Genomic DNA, 19,969 nt, shown 5'->3' on the forward strand with positions numbered 1-19,969 from the left:
GGACAGCAGCACCCCCGACCCCAGGTCTGGCTGGGGCAGGACCATTTCCTGCGGGGCCGGTTTGAGGATGACGCCTGCCTGCCGTGTTTGTTTCCAAGTCATTGTCATGGAAACCGGGGCGGTTGTTGCTACTGTTTGTCTGGACTGCGTCGCTAGGCGGTGTTGCTGGGGTTGGCTGGGTGCCCACGGCACTAACAGGGCTCGCTTGGTGTCTCCAGCTCCAGGAAGCTATGCCCTCCCAGCCGCCTGCCAGCCAGGTGCTCCCTTGGGTGCCCACAGACCCAGATATCCCCTAAAAGGGAGGGGAATCTGGAATGGGCTCTTCTGCCTTTGGGCGTGCCTGCTTCTCTGTCCCTGCCTTGGGGGCTGCTCTGCCCTCAACCTTCACTCTCTTCTACTTGGACCTATGCCTGGCCAGTGAGGCGGCTCTGAAATGCTATCTGCTCCATCCCTCCCCTTCAGAACCCCTGGGAACCAAGTCCAGGGATCCACAAGGCCCTGGTGCCCCATGGGGCTAAGCTCACACCCCGGCGCTCTGTTGAACCGAGCTGTGCCGCTCCCCGTCTGTACCCCCACTGTCCAGTCTTCCCGTGTCTCCTGGCCAGGTCCCTCCAAGGTATCCCCCACTCCAACCTGGGCTGGTGGGGCCCTCACTGGTGCCCCCAGCCAGGCATCTTTGTGGGGCCAGCTCAGCCTGCAGCTACCCCTGTCTCCACTTCTTCTGGCCCCTGCCCGGGACCCCCAGCACCCTTCCTCCAGGCCCTGCCCAGCCAGTGACCGCAGCATCGGCCCTGGGTACCCCTGCTCCCAGGGTCTTCCCTAATTCCTGGACCCCTTCGGACTCCACACAGCTGGGACTAGCGCCCCTGACCCTGACCCTCCACAGGACTTGGTGGGGCACACCTCCCTCCCGGCCCTGGGTCCAGCTTATTGGGGGCCGGCGGTAGCCTGAGAGGTGGATGTGAGGAAATCACCCAGTGCCGTGGGCCCCTAGCTCTGGACCGTGGAGGGCTGGGCACAGGCAAGGGCAGGCTGGAGGACCAGGACGGCCAGGTATGGGCAGCACTTTTCCCAGCGCCTGATGGGCTTCCGGTGGGGATGTGGGGTCCAGCTGCCAGGCGGGGAGGCTGGAATTCCAGCCTCTGGAATTCCTGGGCTATGGCTGTAGGATGCTGGGTACTAGGCCCAGCCTCAAGAGAGGGGAGGGAGGTCAGGGGCACCCCATCTGGCCAGTCTGTGGAAGCCAGGCAGGGGTGCAGCCCCGCTGGGGGCAGGGCTGGCTGAGGGAGCCCCCTTCTTCCCTCTTTCCACACCTTGCCACGTCTGCTCTGGGAGAGGAGGAACTGCGCAGCCTTCCCACCTGCTCGGGGCTGGAGGTGAGGCCTGGAGGACAGGAGGTGCCTGTCTGGTAAGCCTGTCCCATGCCAGCCCCATGCCAGGTCTGCCCAGGGCAGGAATGGCCACTGAGCCCAGCACGGCCAACCGGGGCCAGACCACAGGCCAGACAGGGGGTCCCGGGAGACAAGCAGCTGAAAATAGACCCTGGGAACTTGGGAGTGTCTGAGACTCAGCTGGGCCGAGAGGGAGGGGCAGGGAGGTGGGCCCTGGGGAGGCCTGAGCTGGGCGTGGCCGGCTCCGCGCTGTCCTGGCATGCATGTTGGCAGTGCAGGGCACCTGGTTGCAGAGCATCCAGGACAGGCCTGGCTGGCCTGCAGCCCCGGGAGGGCACCTCACACCTGCCCACACTCTCAGCCTGGGCATGGGGCAAGGGGAGGTGGTGGGGAGGGCTCCAAGGACAAGGAGGGGCATCTCAAGGCAAGTCCCCAAGCTGAGTCTGCAGAGGAAGGGGCTGTGGGCCCAGAGGAGCAAAATGTTCCTAGAGGGGTGGACGGTGGGATTCCTCAGGGACAGTGGGGCCCAGCCCTGCCTCCTGGGTTACCCTGGTTCCTGGAGCCCAGGCCTGGCTGCAGGCTGCCGCACCCCAGCCCCTGTGGGCTTCAGCCAGAGGGCCAGCAGGAGCAGGCCAGGGCGCAGGGATGTGTGCAGAGGGCGGGCTGAGCAGACAGAGGCGGCCTCCAAGATGCACCCGGAACACTGCAGCAGCCCCCGCCACCCCCGGGTCTAGGGCCCTCTTGCTGTCCAGGTGCAGGGTGGAATGTTCTGGGCATAGAGGCAGCCTGGGGCGAGCAGCTGCGGAGCTCCGAGTCCCTGCCCCGACCACTCTGTCCTCTGTTTGTTCCTGAAACAAATGCCACCAGCACCCTGCAGAGTGGGCTGAGAGGTACAGGGGCTGGGGTTTCCAGCCAGCCCAGTGGGCCTGAGTCAGGCTGGCCCCATGGACGAGGTCAGTGCCCTGTCCTAGGTGCATCCCCGGCCAGGTGAGAGCTGACAAAGCCTGAGGCCTAGTGACTGGGCTGGGGCTGGTCGGGGGCAGTGTGTCCCGGAAGCCGGCAGGACCCTGACCTGCTCAGATGGAGGTGGGCGTTGGGGGTGGGATGGCCTGAACACGGAGTGTGGGTGGAGAAAGGAGCTGGAAGCTGGGGTCCTGCAGCTGATGAGGGGTCCCCACCCCCAGAGCACAGGGTAGATGGGGAGCACAGGAGAAAGGGGGTCTGAGGGGCATGTCAGTCTGTGGCTGAAGTTTAGGAAGGGTTCCAGGGATCGTGTGTATGTGACTGTGTGTGTGTCTCTGTGTTATGTCTGTGTCAGTGAGGGTGTGCGTGTGTATCTGTGCATGTGTCTGTGTGTATCTGTGAGTGTGGGTGTCTGAGTTGAGTGGAAAAACTGCTGTGAGCCAACACAGAAGGCGTGGCCCCACGGCGAGGGCATCCTGCCCCCCACCCCACCCGTGACCATGGTGACAGGAAGCAACAGCAGGGAAGGCCAGGAATGGACTCATCACCCTGGTTTTCAAGGAGGGGCTCCTCCATGGGCAGGGTGGGTTGGAGTCCAGAGTGTGGGGGAAGGGACCATCCCTGGGGGCGGGTAGAGGGGAGGACAAGGACTGGGTCATTGTCCCTATCTGCCCTGGCTAATGTCCGTACATGAGCTGCAAGGTACCGGGCCAGGAGCTGGGATGGGCTGGGGAGGAGGCTTGACAGAAATATGGGCGGACAACTGCGAGAGGGACCACACACATGCTCGCGGGGACCCCAGAGACCCCTGATGGACACACCCATACGGGTATGTCCACGGGCACCAGGCACACACGTGTGCATCAGGCACTTGCCCTGCACCTCTGCACCCGGAGCACGTCATCCTGGTGGGGGTGTGGACAGCGGTGCTGGGCACCCTGGGGCTTGGGGGCAGCGCACGCCCCAGGGAAAGTGCAGTGACAGAGCCCCCGGCCTCCCCAATACTGTCCGGGCTCCCCTGGCCTCTCCCCCTTCTTGGTGCCTCTGCCTCTCCCTCTGCTTGTCTGCAGGTTTGTCCCACGATGCCCCACACTCAGTGGAGATGGCAGGTGGGCCCAGACCTCAGAGTGGGTTTCAAGGCTCATGGGCTGGAGAGTGGGGGTTCCAAGTTTGCAGGACAGGAGCGCACCCCTACTCTGGAAACCTTATCTCTGAGGTCTCAGAATGGGGGATGAGGAGGGCTCCAATGGGCCCCTGTGGAATGTCCTATCAGACCCCAGGACTTAGCCCCAGTCGGGGGACAGAACTGTGGCCTTAGAGGGGCGCCAGGAGGAGGGCAAGCAGGATGTGGCCTTGGGCTGGGTGTGCTGGTGTGGGGCTCTCTGGAGTGTGGCCTCTGTGCCAGACGCCTGTGCCTTGGCCGTCCTACAGCCCTGCTGCCCCTGCCCTCTCCCCAAGCTGGGGACTGGTGGCAGACAGGGCAGGGCAGGCGGCTTCTCTTCCTCTAAGTGCAGGCCTCGAGGTGCCGACAGGGGTGCGGTAGGATTCAGGGAAAGTGAGGTTGGGATCACAGGTGCAGTTAGGGCTCAGGGCCCGACAGCGGTAGGCCAGCGGCTCCTGGGGCCCAGGAGGATGGTCTCCAGCGCCCCCAGCGGGGACAGGGCCAGCACAGGCCCAGTGGAGATCGAGGGGAGATAAGGACGCTGGTTAACATGGCTGACAGGAGGGATGGTGGGTGGGGAGGAAGGGCAGCACCGCCCTTGTGCTGTGGGAGCTCCCAGGGAGCTCCATGCAGCATGGAGGTGAAGGGCCTGCAGAGAGAGGGCTCCCCTGCTCAGTGACAGGAGAGGGGGCTGACAGTGACCTGGGCTCCCTTCCTGAGGCTGGCCAGTCAGCTAGAGGGCTGACCCCAAAGCCCGAGGCCAGCGCAGCCCCCTTGGCCCTCCTGAATCTGGGGGGCGGGTGAGGCGGGACAGACTCCGCCTGGCACCGGGACCATCCTCCGCCTCAACTTTGCAGCGTACTTGGACCGCTCTGGCCGCCCTGGGCGCTACCCGCAGAGATAAGGGCCCCTCCCTGCGCCCGGTCCGGGCATCTCCGAGCCGGCCTGGGGGTGGCTGAACTCTCTTTTGCCGGCCGAAACCCCAGCCCCCGCAGCCCCCGCAGCCGATCGGTCCTCAAGCTACAGCTCCCCTCTCTGGGAGTCCCCGCTTTTGAATTCCCCGGGGATGTTCCCGCTGCGGTCCGATGGACCTCCCAGAGCAGCGGAGGTCAGGGGAGCTAGCAGAGGCGGGGACGTCCCTTGGGAGTGAGGGGACTGACAGGGGCGGCCTCGTAACCCTGCGTGGGATGGAAGGTCAGAGTGGGTTCCTCGGTGGGGGGCAACAGCGGGGGCTCTCCGGCAATTGTCCCCGACCCTCCGTCCTGGGGAGGGCAGGATCAGCGCGCGGGCTGCTTTGCATCTCTTTGCATTTTAGTGATGTTTGGTCCAGTCCTGGCCCGGGCAGATCTGGGGTTCGGGCGGGTGCCGGTGGGGTAGGGCTGGGGGTGGGAGCGGCGTTTCCTGCTGCGGGTGAGCCTTTTGCCTCGGAACTGGACCCGGGAGACATCACAGCGCTGGGCTAGGGGCGCGGCTTGAACTCGCCTAAAGAGCTGCGCCCTCTCAGTAAGTCCCCATGGCCCCCTGCCCCCCCGCGCTCCGTCCTCAGTCAGGCCCGGGTCCTGCCTGAAGGCGGGGGTGGACCAGATGATCTTTCTTGGGCCCTGGGCCTAGATTCGAGGTCCCCAGGGTCCAAGTCCTGGGTTCAGAGGGCGGGGCGCGAGGGGCGGGGTCTCCAAGGGGCGGGGTCCCGGGGTCCCTGAAAGGCGCGGACCAGGCCGGATCCACCCAGTCTCGCGCCTGCAGCCCGTGCCGCCCCAGCCGCTGCCGCCTGCACCGGACCCGGAGCCGTCATGCCCAAGTGTCCCAAGTGCAACAAGGAGGTGTACTTCGGTGAGCGCGCCCACACCGGCCCCGCGAGGAGGCGCCGCCGACGGGGCGACGAGGCTGGGGACCGCTCAGGAGGACCGGGGGCGCTGGGTCCCTGGGGCGGCGCCCCAGCCTGAAAACGCCTCAGCCTGGCCCGCCGCCTGCCCCGGGATGAGGGTGGAGGCCCCTGCGTCCGAGGGCCCTGGCGATCTCTGCCTGCTAGTGGTCTTGCTGTGCTCGGCGGGCTACCTCTGGCTCTGAGCCTCCCCGTCTCTGGGTCCTACGGTCTCTGCCGTTTCCTCTCAGGCGCGCCCTGAGTGGGGGACCCGCAGGGCTGGAAGGAACGCGGGGCTGGGGCCGCGCCCCCCAGCGCTAAGTGGAAACAGACGCGGAAACCGACGCCCGGGGCGCGATCCCGGGCGCCCGCCTCCCTGCCCCGCGCCCGCGCGCCCCGAGGGGAGGGAGGAAGTGGGAAGTCACCCCTGTCCCCGCCGAGAAGGGCTGTCGCAGGCTCCACCCTTGCCACCGCAGAGGCCCGGGGCTGAAAGCAGGCAGCCAGGCCCAGGCCCTGCTGACCTAAGCCGCGACCCCTGACCCTCGGCCTCGCCCTCTAGCCCCACCCAGCCTTCAGGAGCAAGATTCCCGGCCGCACCCGAAAGTGCCCCGGGGACCAGCGACCCCGCGCTTTGTTTAGTTGTATTGGCTCTGGGGATTGGAGATGTTCCCCTCATGGAGGGTGCTGAGACCTTAGGGTGGGCTGCCAGGCTGGGCGGATGCGGGCTAAGTGCACAGGGCCTTGGGCAGAGCTGGCTGCAAGAGGCGGGTACGCCAGTGGTGGGTAGGCGCCGCGTCCTGCAGCGTCTCACCGGGGCCTGTCTGTGCCTCTGCAGCCGAGAGGGTGACCTCTCTGGGCAAGGACTGGCATCGGCCCTGCCTGAAGTGCGAGAAATGTGGGAAGACGCTGACCTCTGGGGGCCACGCTGAGGTAGGTGGGACCCACCCTGGTGGCAGGGGCCAGGGGTGATGGCACCCCCTCACGGCCCTTCTCTTTGCAGCACGAAGGCAAACCCTACTGCAACCACCCCTGCTACGCAGCCATGTTTGGGCCTAAAGGTATGCTCCCGTCATCCCCACCCCACCCCACCCCACAGCCTCCTCCACCCCAGCCTGTTGACTTTTTCCACCTTCTCTGCAGGCTTTGGGCGGGGCGGAGCCGAGAGCCACACTTTCAAGTAAACCAGGTAGGTAGGACCCCACCCCCTATCCTGCCTCCTGGTTCCACCCTCGGGATGGGGATGCCCCCTCCCAGGGAGGCCTGACCACTCGTGGGCCCCAAAGGAGGCCGTGGACGCTGCACTCACGTCTGTGCCTGTCTCTCTCTGCACAGGTGGTGGAGACCCCATCCTTGGCTGCTTGCAGGGCCACTGTCCAGGCAAATGCCAGGCCTTGTCCCCAGATGCCCAGGGCTCCCTTGTTGCCCCTAATGCTCTCAGTAAACCTGAACACTTGGAAAACCTGTGTGTGTACATGCGCGTGTGTGCTGGGGAGTGCCAAGGGAGCTGCAGTGGGGTCCTGGCAGCAGGCTCTGCCACCGGCGCCTGCTCTTCTGCTGCCCATTGCCCTCCCCAGGGGGCCGTTCCAGGGTCTCATAGGCGAGGGCTCCCTGTGCAGGGTGAGTCCAGGCCACCCTAGACAGCCCGCACCCAGCCCTGGCACTCTGAGTCCGCCTCGACAACTCCCAGATCCTCAGAAGTGCCTCTGAGCCCTCCTGGCCTTCTGGGAGTGGGGAAGGGGGGCTTTGCAGGCCACCAGCCAAAGGCTCAGCAGGCCGAGAGGCCTGGGGGCGGGCGAGGCTGGCCTCGGGTCAGAGGGTGAATCAGCTCATGCTGGCTCCCTTTCTGAGAGGCTCTGGGGGAGTTATGGGAACTCCTGGCCTTCCTCCTTTCCACCCCCCAACCCTGTCCTCATTCCCCACCCCTCCAGGCCAGGCCCAGCTTCTGCAAGGGCCTGATGAGGCTGCTCTGCCCCTGACCCAGGCACCACTGCCCCATGTGCGTCCTCATCTGCCATCTACCCTGTGCCCAGGGACTTACCCAGTGGCCCGGCGTCCAGTGGGGAACTTGAGTACCGGCCGTGCACAGGGGCTGGGGGGCCTTCTGGAAACTCCCTTGTCAACTCAGCCAGCCGCTGCTGACTGGCCACCTTCAGAGACCCTCTTCCCCACACTGGCTACTTAGATACCGGCCTTGGCAGAAGGCCACCCCTCCGGACACCCACTGGTTTAAAAGAGCCCAGGGGTCTGGCCCTGCCTTAGGGCTGTGGTGGGTGTGCTGCAGGCTCAGCTCGACAGGTGCTGTGGGGGCAGTCTAGGGTGGCCCGCAGGGTGGGGTGTGTGGGGGTGATTGGGGGATTCCTGGAATTCCAAGAGCTGGGAGCCACAGCACTTTTGATGGGATGGGGGCAGGGGGTGCTGAGGTGAGGCTGGTTTCTGGCTGGACGGTGGTGGGTGGAGCTGAGGGAACTGAGATCTTTGAGACAGCGACACCTGGTGCAGAGAAAAATCCGCAAGCTCGGGGGTTGGGAGAGCGCTGAACAAGGCCGCAGAGCTGCTCCGCCATCTCCCCCACGCCTCCTGCCAAGTTCTGTGGCGCCGCGGTTCCCCACCTCCTGCTCCCATCCCCCTGGCTCCCGCCGCCCTGTAGCTCGGCAGGTGCAGTAGGCGCTCCGAGGAGGAGGCCCCTTAGCTTCAAGAAACCCGCGTGGGCGGGGTGAGGAGCGCAGTCCTCCTACTGGCGCCGTGAAGGAGATCGCGATGCGCCGGAGGGAAGGAGGCTGCGGGCGGGGAAGGACGGAGGGCGTGCGGGGAGGGAGAGGAGGGGCTTGCTGGGGGGGGGGCCCCGAGGCGGGGCCGGGAGGGCCGCCTGGAAGAGGAGGTCGGGGGCGAAGGAGGCCGAGAAGAAAGGTGGGGCCGGGACCCCTCGGGCTGCGCCTCTCGTGGGCGTGTCCAGCCAGGGCTGGGGGTCCAGGGAGGACTGAGTTTCCCTCTCCCGCCGTCCTCGCAGCCCCGGGAGGTGCAGGGGCATCGCGGGAACAGCCCCGGTGACACGCTGCCCGGGGTCTTCACGAATGCCCGGAGGCGCCGCTGGCCAGAAGCCAGCCCGACCTTCCATCCCCGCAGACAGCCCCACGTTCCTCCCGGCCCGCGTCTTTCGGGGCCGCCCGTGCAGGCGGGCCCGGCTCAGCGGCGCCCGGGCAGCAGCTGCTTCCATGCGCCGGCTTCCTCCGGGGCTGCTCCGTGGCGGCGGCAGAGGGAAGCGCTGCCGCGGGCGGGCGAGGATCGGGAGCGCCTGAGGAGGCTGCCGCGGGCTCCGGCTGCGCGTTCGGGGCGGGGGAGCTGCCCGGGACTTCGCGCCAGGGGCCAGGGGCCGGCCGCGCTGGGGTCTGCGCTGTGCGGCGCGGCGGGCTCTGGGCGCCTCCTGGCGGCCCAGCCTGGAAGGCGGCGCGATGGGGCGAGGCTCGTCCGCTCCGACTGCGTAAGCGGCCCCACAGGGCGCCTTCCGGAGTCTGCGCGCTCCCGCCCGGCGGTTGCTAGGTTGCCAAGGGGCGTGAGGCGCTGATGGGTGGGGTCTGAGCGAGGCGGGGTGTCGGGTGTCGTGACGATTGAGCCTGCAAGGGCGGACTCTGCGGTGTTCTCCATATCAACAGCCCTGCCAGGAGCCCGGAAGTGGGTCCGCACGAGACAGAATAGACTACACTCAAACTCCAGGGGAACCGTTCATTGGGCTTGGACACGAAGGCGGGACCCTGCCGACGCAGTGATTGGATGCATGTCCGGCCAGCGCGGTGATTGGGTACAGGTCTCGGGAGCGCGGTGATTGGGTACAGGTCTCGGCCAGCGCGGTGATTGGGCGCAGGTCCCAGCCGGCGCGGTGATTGGGCGCTGGACCCGGCCCGTGCCATGATTGGGCTCAGGTTCCAGCCGGAGCGGTAACTGGGCGCAGGTCCCAGCCGCCGCACTAAACCCGGCCCGTGCGGTGATTGGACGCAGGCCCCGGGCCGCGGCGGAGGCGGGCGATCCGAAAGAGGCTGGTGCTGGCTGCATGGGGAGGCGGCGGCAGCGGGTGGACCCCGCGGCTGGGGCCCGGGCCGGGGCCCTGCCTGAGGCCATCGCCGCGTTGAGTCGGTCGCTGCCCTCGGGACCCAGCCCCGAGATCTTCCGCCGCGCCAAGTTCGACCGTCCGGAGGCGGTGACGCTCTCGCGGAGGGCAGGCGGGCCGGGTGGGGTCCCGGGCCCTCGCAGGGAGTTGGGCCGGCTCCGCTGACCGCCCGCTTTTTATTTTCCGCAGACCTCCGCGCTCTGGCAGCTCCTCTTCCGTGTGCTCTCGCCACTCCCTGCGGGCAACGCCTTGGCATCGCTCGCCCTGGGTAAGCCCCGCTCCTGGCCCCGCCCACCCGGTAGCACTGGCCCCGCCTACTCCTGTAAAGCCCCGCCTTCCCCAGTAAGCCCCGCCCCGGCAGGCTCTAGCCCCCACCCAACACTGACCCCGCTTGCTCCTCAAAACTCCGCCTTCCCCGGTAAGCCACGCCCCCTGATGGGCCCTAGCTCCACCCCCTTGGGTAGCACTGGCTTCTGCTCCTACAAAGCCCTGGGGACGTCCCTGTTGGCCCCTGGTCTCCTCATCCTGGTCTGAGTTCTAGCTCTCCCACTATCATCTCTTCTGAACTAGGCCTTGAGCTTCTGCTCAAGTGACCTGTGGGGGTCTCTGGAGGGATCCAGGTGGTGTCACCTCCAGGTGGGTGGTCCCCCTAAGGTGGTGGTCTTCTGTCCTAGAGGTCCAAGCCCGCTTGGTGAAGTCAGCACTATGCTCCCAGGGCTACCCGAGGCTGGCACTGGCACAACTACCTGAGGATGGCTCGCAGGGCAGTCGGGAGCTGCTGCTGGCTCTGTCCTGGCTCTTGGCCCGAGGACCTGTGCCCGAGCAGATGCTGGCCCAGGCCCGAGTGCCTCTGGGTGACGAGATGACTGTGTGCCAGGTGCGTGTGGGTGAGGGTGAGCTGAGCCAGCCCTGGTCTCAACTCCTGGGGCCAGAGCAAGGGCAGGCCTGGGTCAGCCCCCTCTGTCTGCTTTGCTCCTCAGGGCAGTCCCATGAAGGGTTACCCAGCTGCCCAGCTGAAAGCACGGAGGCTCCCTGTGCAGGGAGCACCCGTTGTTTTTGGCTGTGCCTCCACTACCGTCTCCATCCTGGCCTTTTCTGGGGGGCAGGGTGGGGTGGGAGCAGGGCCTGACCCTTGCCCCTCTCCAGTGTGAGGCCCTGGCCAGCCCTGGCCCACCTGCACCCCACATGGAAGCAGAGGGTCCTGTGGATGTCCGCCATGTGCAGTGGCTGATGGGAAAGCTGCGGTTCCGGTGGCGCCAGCTGGTGTCCAGTCAGCAGGAGCAGTGCGCCCTCCTGAGCAAGGTAGAGCTGGCACAGGGCTTCCACTCAGGGGCTGTGTCCCGTGCTGCAGGCCGCCAGCTGCCAGTCCCTGCAGCCCGTCCCGTGAGGCCTGGCACAGGCTTTTGGCTGGATGTGGGCCTTCCTGCCCTGGCTTACCCAAAGCCTGAGCCCGTGGTTCCCGGTGGTCCTTGTAGGGGGCAGGGCTGGGCAGGGAGCCCAGTGGGGTGGGCAATGGTGGGCAGAAACGGGTGTCAGAGAGCTCACAGAATTTGCCTTTCTGTTCCCAAAAGTTACCAGTGGACTTCCAGCTCTGTGAACAGTGGGATGGGGTCTGTGCCATGAAAGCCACTCCCTCCTGGGCACTGGAGGGGGAGGAAGACAGCTCCTGTTGCCACCACATCCTGGTGGGGGCTGACTTGCGGGGTGGACAGCTCCTGTGGGGTCCTGAAGGTGGCAGGGGCTGGCTCAGGGGCACAGGTACCCAGTGGTGTGTCCACTGTGAGGCCAGCGCTGACAGGTGGGTCTGTGGCAGCGGCGGGCTCCCACCAGCGCGGGACTCCTTGGAGACCCCCCCATCCCACCCTTGCAGAGGGTCTGTTGCTCAGCTGGCCTTTCCAGGGACCTCTCACCCCGTCGGGCCTGGCCTTGGCACCAGCTGCTCCGCTTACTTATGTGCCTACCTGTGACCCTCTGTGCCACCTTCCAGCCTCCCTTTTTTGGGGAGCCTTCCCCATTTCCCTAGATCCAAGCAGTCGTTCATGTCCCCACTGTGAGCCTGGCTGAACTGCTGTGCCTGTCCAGAGGCTGTTCCTCCCCCGATGCTGCTGGGGAAGCCAGGGCACCCCACTCCAATCTTGCTGCTGCTTGGAAGCTGGGCGGGGTGGGGAGGCCATCAGTGAAATTGCCTGGCGCCCCCTTGCAGGAGACCCCAGCGGTGCTGATGGTTGTTCTGCACCCAGCCCAGCCCCGCCAACCTCAGGCAAGGAGTGGCTTTCTCTGAGCCCTCTTTCCTCATCTGGGAGGTGGGCTCTGATGGCCGACCTCCCTGGACTCATGGAGACTCAGCGTTGGGGGAGGTGCTTGACTGCCACTCAGCCTGGGGTCTGCACTACCTGTTTTAGATCCACCTGTACACACGCGGCTGCCACAGCGACCAGAGCCTTAGCCATCTGTCTGTCACTGAAGCAGAGATGCTCAGGGACCCAGAGGGAGGCCAGCAGGTGAGGGCGGGCAAGCTGCTGCGGGGGGGTGGGGGTGGGCTGGGGGGCACAGCAGGGGGACTGCCCAGGGTGGGAGGGGCCTGGGGGCGGGGCAGCTCTTGGGCCTCCAGCGGTGGGTGTCTCTGCATGTCTGCCACTGATCATTGCCAGCCTGGGTGACAGACAGCTTCTCTGGGCCTCTCCTAGCCTCATGGGCCACTCACCCTTCCCTTCCACAAATCAAGACGTGGCACGGGTGGGGGCCCAGGACGCAGGAGCCTGGGCTGGGCAGGCAGCTGGCTAAGGGCAGGCTGTTGGAATAAAGGAACACAGATCTCAGGTGTGAGCTGGTGGTGTTGGCATCTCAAGCAGGTCTCACTTGGTGTGTCAGGGGGCACCTAGGGGTGTGGGGGGCCAGCCCACACTGGGTGAAGGGTTGGGCACAGGGCTGACTGTGGGAGGGGACAACTGCCCTTCAGAACCCAAGGCCAGGCCCACATGGGGTGTGCTGGACCGAGCCTCCCAAGCTGGAGCCAGCTCCATAGGCCCTGGAGACTTGCAGTCCCGTTCTGCTTGCTACACCCGGACCACCCGGGGGCACGGCGCTTTCTAGGCAGGCCTGCCCCCGGCGACCGGGGCTCTGTGGTCCCAGGCAGATCCTGAGCCCTGGATAGCATAGACCTGGAGGAAAACCTGCCTCTGAGCCCCAGGTGGCTGTGTGACCTTGGGGAGACAGCATCCTCCTCTGACTGGGGCTGCTGGAGCACTGACCCAAGTGTTAGGGTTGACCTAGCCCCAGGCATCTTCCCCAGGGATGGCCGCTTCCTCGCACCCTGCTGCTGGCCTTCCATCCTCATCCTTCTTTCTGGGGGTCTGCCCGCCCGTCATCACTGGCTTCTTCCTCTTGGCTGGCTTGGTTTCAGGGGATAGGGCAGGGCTGGCTGCCACTCTTTTAATTTATTTTATTTATTTATTTGAGACAGAGTCTCGCTGTGTCGCCCAGGCTGGCATGCAGTGGCACAGTCTTGGCTCACTGCAACCTCCGTCTCCTGGGTTCAAGCGATTTTCCTATCTCAACCTCCTGAGTAGCTGGGACTACAGGCACCTGTCACCACGTCCGGCTAATTTTTTTGTATTTTTAGTAGAGACGGGGTTTTGCCACGTTGGCCAGGCTGGTCTCGAACTCCTGACCTCTGGTGATCCACCTGCCTCGACCTCCCAGAGTGCTGGGATTACAGGCGTGAGCCAACCACTTGGGCTGGGCTCTGTACTGTCCTGAGTGACGGGCTGGCACTGTCCTGCTCCAGGTGCATATGGCCGGGCAGGAGGGCAGAGGCTCAGGGCTGGTGTGACCTCTTCTTCCAGACCCAGTCCCCCTTCTCTGCCTCTTCCCTCTCCAATCCCAGAGACTTGGCCCCTGTACCTCATCCCAGGCCTGCCCAGGGGGACCTAGGGGTCAGAGGCGGATGGCCTGGCTCCTGGCCCCTAGTCTTGTGTCTGCTGGGGCTTCCTGCTCGTAGCAAGGGCCTGTGGGTTCCAGCTCTGCAGCCCAAGCCTGGGGGATTGCATGCCTCACTCATGGGCTTACAGGGCCCAACCCCTGACGCCTGCCTGGCCCCTGGTGCCAGCTGGACCTGTGTCCCTGGCTGAAGCCGGGCTGGCGCCCACCCAGTCAGCCTGCACTGGCGTTGGCAGTGCTGAGGCAGCATCCGGGCGTCCTGGTCTGCCCTTGTCCCTACCTGCCTTGTAGAGGCGGCTCAGCGAAGCCCAGGCTTCTGGCCCCTGGGACCCCTGGGTTGGGGCAGAGGAGAGGCTGCCCTGGCCCCAGGCTGCTCCTGCCCAGTGCCTCTGTGGGACCACCCTCTGTGGTGGGCTGGGGGGGCCTGGAAGTGAGGCCCCGCCCTCTCCCCGAAGCTGTGTGCGGCACTGGCCAGGTGGACTGGGGCCATGGCTGGCTTCCTTCCAAGGTTTCTGGAGCGGGAGCTGCCCAAAACCTGGACCTGGCCTACCCAAAGTGCCTGCACTCCTTCTGCACTCCTGGGATGGGTCCCAGAACCTTCTGGAATGATCTGTGGCTGGTATGTGAGCAGCCAGGTCTGCTGCCGGGTGACTGGGCAGCACCCTTGGATCCTGGTGGGGCCTCAGCCTGCAGCCTGCTCTCCCCTTTTAGGGCGGTAAGTCGGGGAGGCTGGCAGGGAAGTGGAGACCGCAGGACTTGGGGGTGGGTGGGAGGGGGTGGCGAGGGGGTGTGTTTGCTCCTCCTCTCCTGCCTGCTCCCACCCCTGGCCCTTACCTTCTTGGGAACTGTGGTGATTGCCTTCTGTCAGGTGTGTTGAAGCGGCCGTACCCATGGTGGAGGCCTTTGCTCTTCTTGTGGCGTGCTGGGGTGGGCAGGTGGGCTGCAGCCCCGGCACCAGCCTGCTCCAGCTCCCACACCGCCCACAGACCTCCCTGTCCTCATATTCTCTGACCGCAGGCCTGCCTGCCTCTGCTCTGCTCCGCCCCAGAGGGGCTGGGTTGGACCTGGTGTTCAAGGCCATTCCTATCTGCCCCCCAGCCCACTGCTGGAGCCCCAGGCCCCTGCAGCCTGCTCCACACTCTGGGTTCCCGGGGGAAGCAGGGGTAGAGTGGGGCAGGATTCAGGTGTAGAGGGCCTGTCCCCAGCAGGGGTCCCCTTGCCCCGGGCCCAGGGTCACTGGTACAGATAGCCCATGAGCGAACCTGGGAGGCCTTCCGTGTGTGGGCAGAGCAGCTGCTGTGTCCTGGCCATTCTCCAGCCGCCTGTCTGTGGGCACTGTGGGCAGGTACCTTTGTGCAGGGCCATGGGGCAGGCAGGGCGGGGTCTCCTGGCCCTGCCTGACCCTTCACTTGGGAATGTCAAGTGTGGCTCAGCTCTGCCTTCTCTGCCACCTGGGTCACTAGGCAGACTCCTCACTGCCTTAGGGGGTCCCTGAAGTTACAGGGGATGGGTTTTCCCTCCCCCAGAGCCTGGCTTGCTCCTTCGTTTGGGGCCTCCCCGTCCGCCTGCAGTCCCCGGATACAGCCCGCATTCAGTGAGGGCTGTGGGGCAGAGGTCTAGGCTTGAGAGGCACCTGGACCTGTCCCTGACCTTGTTGGACTGGCAGTGGGGCTGGTGTGGGGGACAGCGGATGTCCTCAGAGCCGGGGGGCAGCTCTTGCCTGGCAGGCAGGGCCTGGCCGTGCACTGGTTGGGGGCTGCCCTGCACTGCAGAAAGGACAGGTGGGCTGTGGCGTCCGCACCACACCAGGGTGCCCTGCTCATCGCTCTGGCCAGAGAACCTGGGCGCAGGCAGGGGAGGGCTGCAGGGGCGGGGCGTGAGCTAGGCGTTGGGCCGGGTGTCGGCGCTGGGTCCAGCTGTCCATCCGACTGTCTGTCCATGGGGTCCCGTGTGAGGTTCTAGGCCAGCTGCCGTTTGCCTTCCAGCTGCTGCGGACTCTGGAGCGTGAGAACCAGCGCCTGGAGGCTGTCCTGGCGTGGCGGCGCTCTGAGCTGGTCTTCTGGCGGTGGATGGTGAGGAAGCCCGCGCATCCCTCTCCCGGCATCCCTTCCCACAGCAGCCCCCAGGTGGGGCATTCGGGATCTTCCTGTTTTCCAGACAGGAAGAGGGGCTTTTAGGGAGGCCACAGACCTAGTGTAGGCTCTTTCTAGGACTTCCACTCGCCTTCTGGGGAGGCTCACTGCTGCCCCCGCCCTCAGCTCCATGGCCTTCTAGAGTGTGGCCTTTGTGCCTCCCTGGACGTCACAGTTGCTGAGATGGTGGCATCCAGCCCGCTGTGGGACCTGGGGGACTACCACTGCCCTCTTTGCCCTCTGTCCCTCTGTCCCCTTGGCTTGGTGCACGCTGTCTCACTTGGGTCTCTGTAGGACACGGTCCTGGGCACCTGTGCCCCGGAGGTGCCTGCTGCAGCCTCACAGCCCACCTTCCTGCCCTGGGTCCCCGAGCGCGGGGGTGGCGAGTTGGACCTGGTAGTGCGGGAGCTGCAGGCACTGGAGGAGGAGCTGCGGGAGGCTGCGGAGCGCAGGCGGGCGGCCTGGGAGGCCAAGGTGAGTGCCAGCCTCGCTCTGGGCACCAGCCCAGCCCCACCTTCGGGGGATGGCTGACCTGAGGGCACTTTGGACTTGCTGAATCCTACAGTTGCATTTGTCAAGCATGGCAGGGGACACACTTAGAGGCACGTACCCTGAGGGAGCGGGAGGGCACCTGGTGAGGAGCCGCAGCTGCTGCGAGACAGCCCCCGCCCCTCCTGCGGGAGGTCTGTTGTCTGATTCTTTGCATGAGGGAGGGAAGCCCGTGCTGTGTGGGCCCTGCTGCTCCCATGCGTCCGCCACACATGCATCACACGGTAGTAGTCACTCCTCCACACCTGCCTGGGACCCGTCTAACCTCCTGGTGGCCACCTGGGCCTCCACCCTAGACTCAGAGCTGCCCGCTTAACCTGCGCAGGTTCATGGCTGTGAACACGGGGCTGTGTTGGCTCCATCTATTTTCTTTTTCTGAAGAGTTTTAACTTAAATTGCAGGCATGATTTTCCCCTTAAAATTTTCAGTAAGCCTCTCTGAAGAGCATGGGCGTTTCCCGCATGCCTGCAGCGCCTGCACCTGAGTCTGGGCTCAGGGAATGCTCAGGGAGCCTGAGGCCAGTGTCCTGGGGGGACAGAGCCATTGCCATTGTGTCCCACGCAGGCTGGAGGCTGTGGACGGGGGCCAGAGTGGAGTGCCGCGCGGCGGGCCTCTCGGGAGGCTGTGGAAAAGGAGCTGGGAGCTCTACAGCAGTGCTGGGAGCGAGACGGTGGCCCGGCCCAGCCCCATGGGCCACACCGGCTGGTGAGACGAGAGGATGGGGCAGCAGGGGACCGGGACCTGCGGGCAGCTGTGGTGATCAGGACGCTGAGGAGCCAGGAGGCCTGCCTGGAGGCGGTGCTACGTCGACTACAGGGACAGTGTCGGCAGGAACTGGCCAGGCTGGTGGGAGCCCGCCCTGGTCTCATCTGGATCCCGCCACCTGGACGCTGAGGGCCTGTCGACGGGCCCTCGTGTGGGAAGCCTGCCCTGGCCCAGCCTGGCTGGGTCTTGGAGGAGCAGATTCCAAGGCCAGGTGGCCGCAGGGACGATGCAGATGCAGAGCCCACGTCACATGCTCGCTCCAGGGGTGGGGCTGGGCTGACTCTGGCCGGATCCCAGGCCTGTGGCTAGCAGCACTGGGGACAGGAATGGCTGGTCCCTTGAGGAGGTCGTGACAGGCTCAGCCTGGTGGTCTGGAGGGGACTCGGAAATAAATTGTAGCAGCTTTCCTGCCGCTGGCCCTCCCCCTGCCACCCTGTCGGGTTTCCCTGTTTGGGGGTGGGAGCGTGGAGGAGCCCCTGGGCAGTGGTGGCCAGTGTAGGGCTGGCCAGGTGCTGGAGGACATGCATACCCCAGCACTGGTGAGTGGCAGGACCACGGGGAGGTGGCACAGGCCTCCCTGGAGCGGGATTATCTCGGCCCCGCCCCCCTTCATTTGGGCTCCCGCTGTGGGCCTGGCCCTGGGCTGTGAGCACAGCTGCCCCCACCTCCGGCCAAGGCTGTGCCTGGTGGGTGCGCCGGATGGGAGCCCGGGGCTCTGCTCCTTCCCGGGAGGTGGTGCTCCGGGTGGGGAGGCACAGCATGGACAGAGGGGCTTTGTTCCAGAGGCTGCTCAGCAAGCTCAGCTCATCCCTGACAAAGAGCCATCTGTGTCCGGGGGACGTGCCTCAGCCTGGCGGAAGGAGGGTCGGCCTCATGGCACCCCCCCCGCCCCCCACCAGCAGACACAGGTGGCCCTGAGGCCTCCAGCCCTGCCTGCCTTGCCGGGCTCCCCTCTCTTCTGGGGCTGTCGGACTCTGACCTGAGGTGGGCAGACGATGGGGCTTGTGGGGCCACCTCCAGGCTCCTGCCGGCCCTGCCCCGAGGCCACGTCCATTCCCCCTGCCAGAACATGCTCTCACTGGGGCATGTGCCTGAGTGACAGCACACACCTGGGGCTCCAGCTCCAGTCTCAGCCTGTCTGGGCCTCCTTGGTCCCAGGGGTGGACACGCCTAGACCGCCTGCCTTCCCATTCCGGTGCATGGGACCCAGGAGCACCGGCAAGACCTGGCCGTGGCCAGCAAGGCCTCCCTTTCAGGAGCACCTCTCTGACCCTCTCATGCAGCTGGGCCTCCTGTGGGCCACCAGGATTTGTGCAAATGCTCCCTGGCCTGCGCCACCCTCCGGCCCCTCCGCCAGCTCCTCCTAAGGGCTCCTGCCACCTCCACCTGCTGGTTCCAGCTCTGTTCCAGGCCCTCAGACCTCAACCCTCCTCCACCTGCAGCCTCTGAAAGTCCCCCGTGCTCTCAGCAACCCTCGACTGCCGGACAGGGCTCTTCTTGGGCTGGGAGCAAGTCCACTTGAAGCCCTGCTTTTTATAAACTGCCACAGAACCAGGACTCTCACGGGCCTGGGGGACTTGATTTTTACGAGCACAAAAGCAGGCTTATTGTCATGGAGTTGTCACCTCTCGATGTGATGCGTGAATTCAGGGCAGTCCAAGTCCTGGGTGCGCGTGTGCCCCCATGATGCTGGCGGTGGAGAGGGCCTGAGAGGCCAGGGCCTGCGGGAGGGAAGCCGGCAGGGTGCCCTAGTGCTGCCCGTCATGATGGAGCAGGGATGGGACCCTGGCCTTCAGCTCTAGTTGTTATCACACATGCAGTGGCTCGAGTCGCCTGAAGTCACGCCCTCTTGTTCTGTGGGTCGGGGGTTGCCAGTCCACAGGGTTAAAGCTGGATGGGCAGGCAGGGCTGTGTGGCCCCCAGCTCAGAGCAGGCATGGAGGTCCTCACAACACTGCCTCTCTGACACTCTCCTGCCTCCCTCCCCTGCCTTCAGGAGCCCGAGTCATCCTCAAGACCCCCATCCCCTCTGTCCCCATAGACTTCCTGTCTTAAGGCCAGCTGCAGCTTTTCCCTTCTGTCTTGCGACCTGCCCCAGACCCACGGAACAGCCTGGAGGCCCACGGTGTCGGCCTGGCTGGGGCAGTAGGGCCCTGCACCCTGGACGAGCCAGCATCTGTGTAAGGACAGTGCAGTTTGCTTCCCAGGAAGACAGAGGCGAAGATGGCCTCACAGGAAACAGCAGAGGTCACCTGGCGCGTGAGACCAAGTGCGCTTACTGGAAGGTGCAATAAACTTCAACAAAACTAGAAATTTTTTTTTTTTTAAGACAGAGTCTTGCTCTTGTCACCCAGGCTGGAGTACAGTGGCGCAGTTTCGGCTCACTGCAACCTCCGCCTCCCGGGTTCAAGCGATTCTCCTGCCTCAGCCTTCTGAGTAGCTGGGATTACAGCAGTGCGCCACCATGCCCGGCCAATTTTTGTATTTTTAGTAGAGATGGGGTTTCATCGTATTGGTCAGGCTGGTCTTGAACTCCTGACCTCAGGTGATCCACCCGCCTCGGCCTCCCAAAGTGCTGGGATTACAGGCATGAACCACTGTGCCCGGCCAAAACTAATGTTTATTAAGAGGTGGTGCAGCTGGATGCAGTGGCTCATGCCTGTAATCCCAGCGCTTTGGGAGGCCTGGATGGGAGGATTGCATGAGCCTGGGAGATCAAGACCAGCCTGGGCAACATAGGGAGGCCCCACCACTACAAAAAATAAAAAAAGCAGCTGGGTGTAGTGGCATGTGCCTGTAGTCCCAGCTACATAGAAGGGAGGCCGAGACAGGAGGATCGCTTGAGCCTGGAGACCAAGGCTATGAGGCCAAGTGAGCTATGATCTTGTTACTGCACTCCAGCCTGGGCAACAGAGTGAGACCCTATATGAAAAAGAAAAAACGATTAATGAGATGGAAGTGCAGTGTCTCATACGCTTGCCTATTCTGTTCCGGCTGGCTCAGCCTTCCTGGCCTCTGCTTCCCTTTCTGCACTACTTCAGGGCTCCTTCACCTGGTCCTGGCTGACCCTGCCTTGAGGGATGAGGCTGGTTGGGACTCCGGCCAG

General features: G+C 65.1%; 2 protein-coding genes across 6 annotated transcripts, besides 15 other annotated features; both read left to right on the forward strand.

Annotated features, from left to right (window-relative positions):
• Window positions 144-463: an enhancer, noted in NCBI's record as "active region_9149". NCBI's record gives its function as "activates an Ori minimal core promoter by ATAC-STARR-seq in GM12878 lymphoblastoid cells {active_cell/tissue: GM12878}" and the evidence as "EXISTENCE:reporter gene assay evidence [ECO:0000049][PMID:35858748]".
• On the forward strand, window positions 4,933-6,994 carry CRIP1 (cysteine rich protein 1). Its single transcript, NM_001311.5, has 6 exons — window positions 4,933-5,019; window positions 5,246-5,346; window positions 6,213-6,307; window positions 6,378-6,435; window positions 6,518-6,563; window positions 6,710-6,994. Exons 2-5 carry the CDS (start codon window positions 5,307-5,309, stop codon window positions 6,556-6,558), a joined length of 234 nt encoding a protein of 77 aa, NP_001302.1. The 5' UTR covers window positions 4,933-5,019; window positions 5,246-5,306; the 3' UTR covers window positions 6,559-6,563; window positions 6,710-6,994.
• Window positions 5,153-5,202: a silencer, noted in NCBI's record as "silent region_6245". NCBI's record gives its function as "represses an Ori minimal core promoter by ATAC-STARR-seq in GM12878 lymphoblastoid cells {active_cell/tissue: GM12878}" and the evidence as "EXISTENCE:reporter gene assay evidence [ECO:0000049][PMID:35858748]".
• Window positions 5,213-5,312: a silencer, noted in NCBI's record as "silent region_6246". NCBI's record gives its function as "represses an Ori minimal core promoter by ATAC-STARR-seq in GM12878 lymphoblastoid cells {active_cell/tissue: GM12878}" and the evidence as "EXISTENCE:reporter gene assay evidence [ECO:0000049][PMID:35858748]".
• Window positions 5,363-5,492: a silencer, noted in NCBI's record as "silent region_6247". NCBI's record gives its function as "represses an Ori minimal core promoter by ATAC-STARR-seq in GM12878 lymphoblastoid cells {active_cell/tissue: GM12878}" and the evidence as "EXISTENCE:reporter gene assay evidence [ECO:0000049][PMID:35858748]".
• Window positions 5,663-5,872: a silencer, noted in NCBI's record as "silent region_6248". NCBI's record gives its function as "represses an Ori minimal core promoter by ATAC-STARR-seq in GM12878 lymphoblastoid cells {active_cell/tissue: GM12878}" and the evidence as "EXISTENCE:reporter gene assay evidence [ECO:0000049][PMID:35858748]".
• Window positions 6,119-6,690: an enhancer, noted in NCBI's record as "H3K27ac-H3K4me1 hESC enhancer chr14:105954409-105954980 (GRCh37/hg19 assembly coordinates)". NCBI's record gives its function as "activates a minimal SCP1, AML or CMV promoter by ChIP-STARR-seq in naive H9 embryonic stem cells {active_cell/tissue: H9 hESC(naive)}" and the evidence as "EXISTENCE:reporter gene assay evidence [ECO:0000049][PMID:30033119]".
• On the forward strand, window positions 7,902-17,295 carry TEDC1 (tubulin epsilon and delta complex 1). Of its 5 annotated transcripts, NM_001367178.1 has the most exons (9): window positions 9,293-9,569; window positions 9,669-9,747; window positions 10,154-10,356; window positions 10,626-10,781; window positions 11,882-11,980; window positions 13,927-14,133; window positions 15,404-15,490; window positions 15,845-16,024; window positions 16,664-17,295. In NM_001367178.1, the coding sequence occupies exons 1-9, from the start codon at window positions 9,423-9,425 to the stop codon at window positions 16,991-16,993; spliced, it is 1,488 nt and encodes a 495-aa protein (NP_001354107.1). In that variant the 5' UTR covers window positions 9,293-9,422; the 3' UTR covers window positions 16,994-17,295. The 5 variants fall into 5 exon arrangements, with proteins under 5 accessions (NP_001185912.1, NP_001128349.1, NP_001354107.1 ...); NM_001198983.2 differs by lacking the exons at window positions 9,293-9,569; window positions 11,882-11,980; window positions 13,927-14,133 and adding exons at window positions 7,902-8,032; window positions 9,028-9,179; NM_001134877.1 differs by lacking the exons at window positions 9,293-9,569; window positions 11,882-11,980; window positions 13,927-14,133 and adding exons at window positions 8,230-8,284; window positions 9,028-9,173.
• Window positions 7,909-8,038: a silencer, noted in NCBI's record as "silent region_6249". NCBI's record gives its function as "represses an Ori minimal core promoter by ATAC-STARR-seq in GM12878 lymphoblastoid cells {active_cell/tissue: GM12878}" and the evidence as "EXISTENCE:reporter gene assay evidence [ECO:0000049][PMID:35858748]".
• Window positions 8,169-8,218: a silencer, noted in NCBI's record as "silent region_6250". NCBI's record gives its function as "represses an Ori minimal core promoter by ATAC-STARR-seq in GM12878 lymphoblastoid cells {active_cell/tissue: GM12878}" and the evidence as "EXISTENCE:reporter gene assay evidence [ECO:0000049][PMID:35858748]".
• Window positions 8,229-8,858: a silencer, noted in NCBI's record as "silent region_6251". NCBI's record gives its function as "represses an Ori minimal core promoter by ATAC-STARR-seq in GM12878 lymphoblastoid cells {active_cell/tissue: GM12878}" and the evidence as "EXISTENCE:reporter gene assay evidence [ECO:0000049][PMID:35858748]".
• Window positions 8,229-10,116: a biological region, named in NCBI's record as "hESC enhancers GRCh37_chr14:105956919-105957662 and GRCh37_chr14:105957663-105958406".
• Window positions 8,629-9,372: an enhancer, noted in NCBI's record as "OCT4-NANOG-H3K27ac-H3K4me1 hESC enhancer chr14:105956919-105957662 (GRCh37/hg19 assembly coordinates)". NCBI's record gives its function as "activates a minimal SCP1, AML or CMV promoter by ChIP-STARR-seq in primed H9 embryonic stem cells {active_cell/tissue: H9 hESC(primed)}" and the evidence as "EXISTENCE:reporter gene assay evidence [ECO:0000049][PMID:30033119]".
• Window positions 8,949-9,198: an enhancer, noted in NCBI's record as "active region_9150". NCBI's record gives its function as "activates an Ori minimal core promoter by ATAC-STARR-seq in GM12878 lymphoblastoid cells {active_cell/tissue: GM12878}" and the evidence as "EXISTENCE:reporter gene assay evidence [ECO:0000049][PMID:35858748]".
• Window positions 9,249-9,618: a silencer, noted in NCBI's record as "silent region_6252". NCBI's record gives its function as "represses an Ori minimal core promoter by ATAC-STARR-seq in GM12878 lymphoblastoid cells {active_cell/tissue: GM12878}" and the evidence as "EXISTENCE:reporter gene assay evidence [ECO:0000049][PMID:35858748]".
• Window positions 9,373-10,116: an enhancer, noted in NCBI's record as "H3K27ac-H3K4me1 hESC enhancer chr14:105957663-105958406 (GRCh37/hg19 assembly coordinates)". NCBI's record gives its function as "activates a minimal SCP1, AML or CMV promoter by ChIP-STARR-seq in primed H9 embryonic stem cells {active_cell/tissue: H9 hESC(primed)}" and the evidence as "EXISTENCE:reporter gene assay evidence [ECO:0000049][PMID:30033119]".
• Window positions 16,859-17,153: a silencer, noted in NCBI's record as "tiled region #9919; HepG2 Repressive DNase matched - State 1:Tss". NCBI's record gives its function as "represses a minimal TATA promoter and a strong SV40 promoter by Sharpr-MPRA in HepG2 cells {active_cell/tissue: HepG2}" and the evidence as "EXISTENCE:reporter gene assay evidence [ECO:0000049][PMID:27701403]".
• Window positions 17,296-19,969: the final 2,674 nt, after the last annotated feature.

The sequence above is a fragment of the Homo sapiens genome, chromosome 14, assembly GCF_000001405.40.
Source record: "Homo sapiens chromosome 14, GRCh38.p14 Primary Assembly".
NCBI classification, from domain to species: domain Eukaryota; kingdom Metazoa; phylum Chordata; class Mammalia; order Primates; family Hominidae; genus Homo; species Homo sapiens.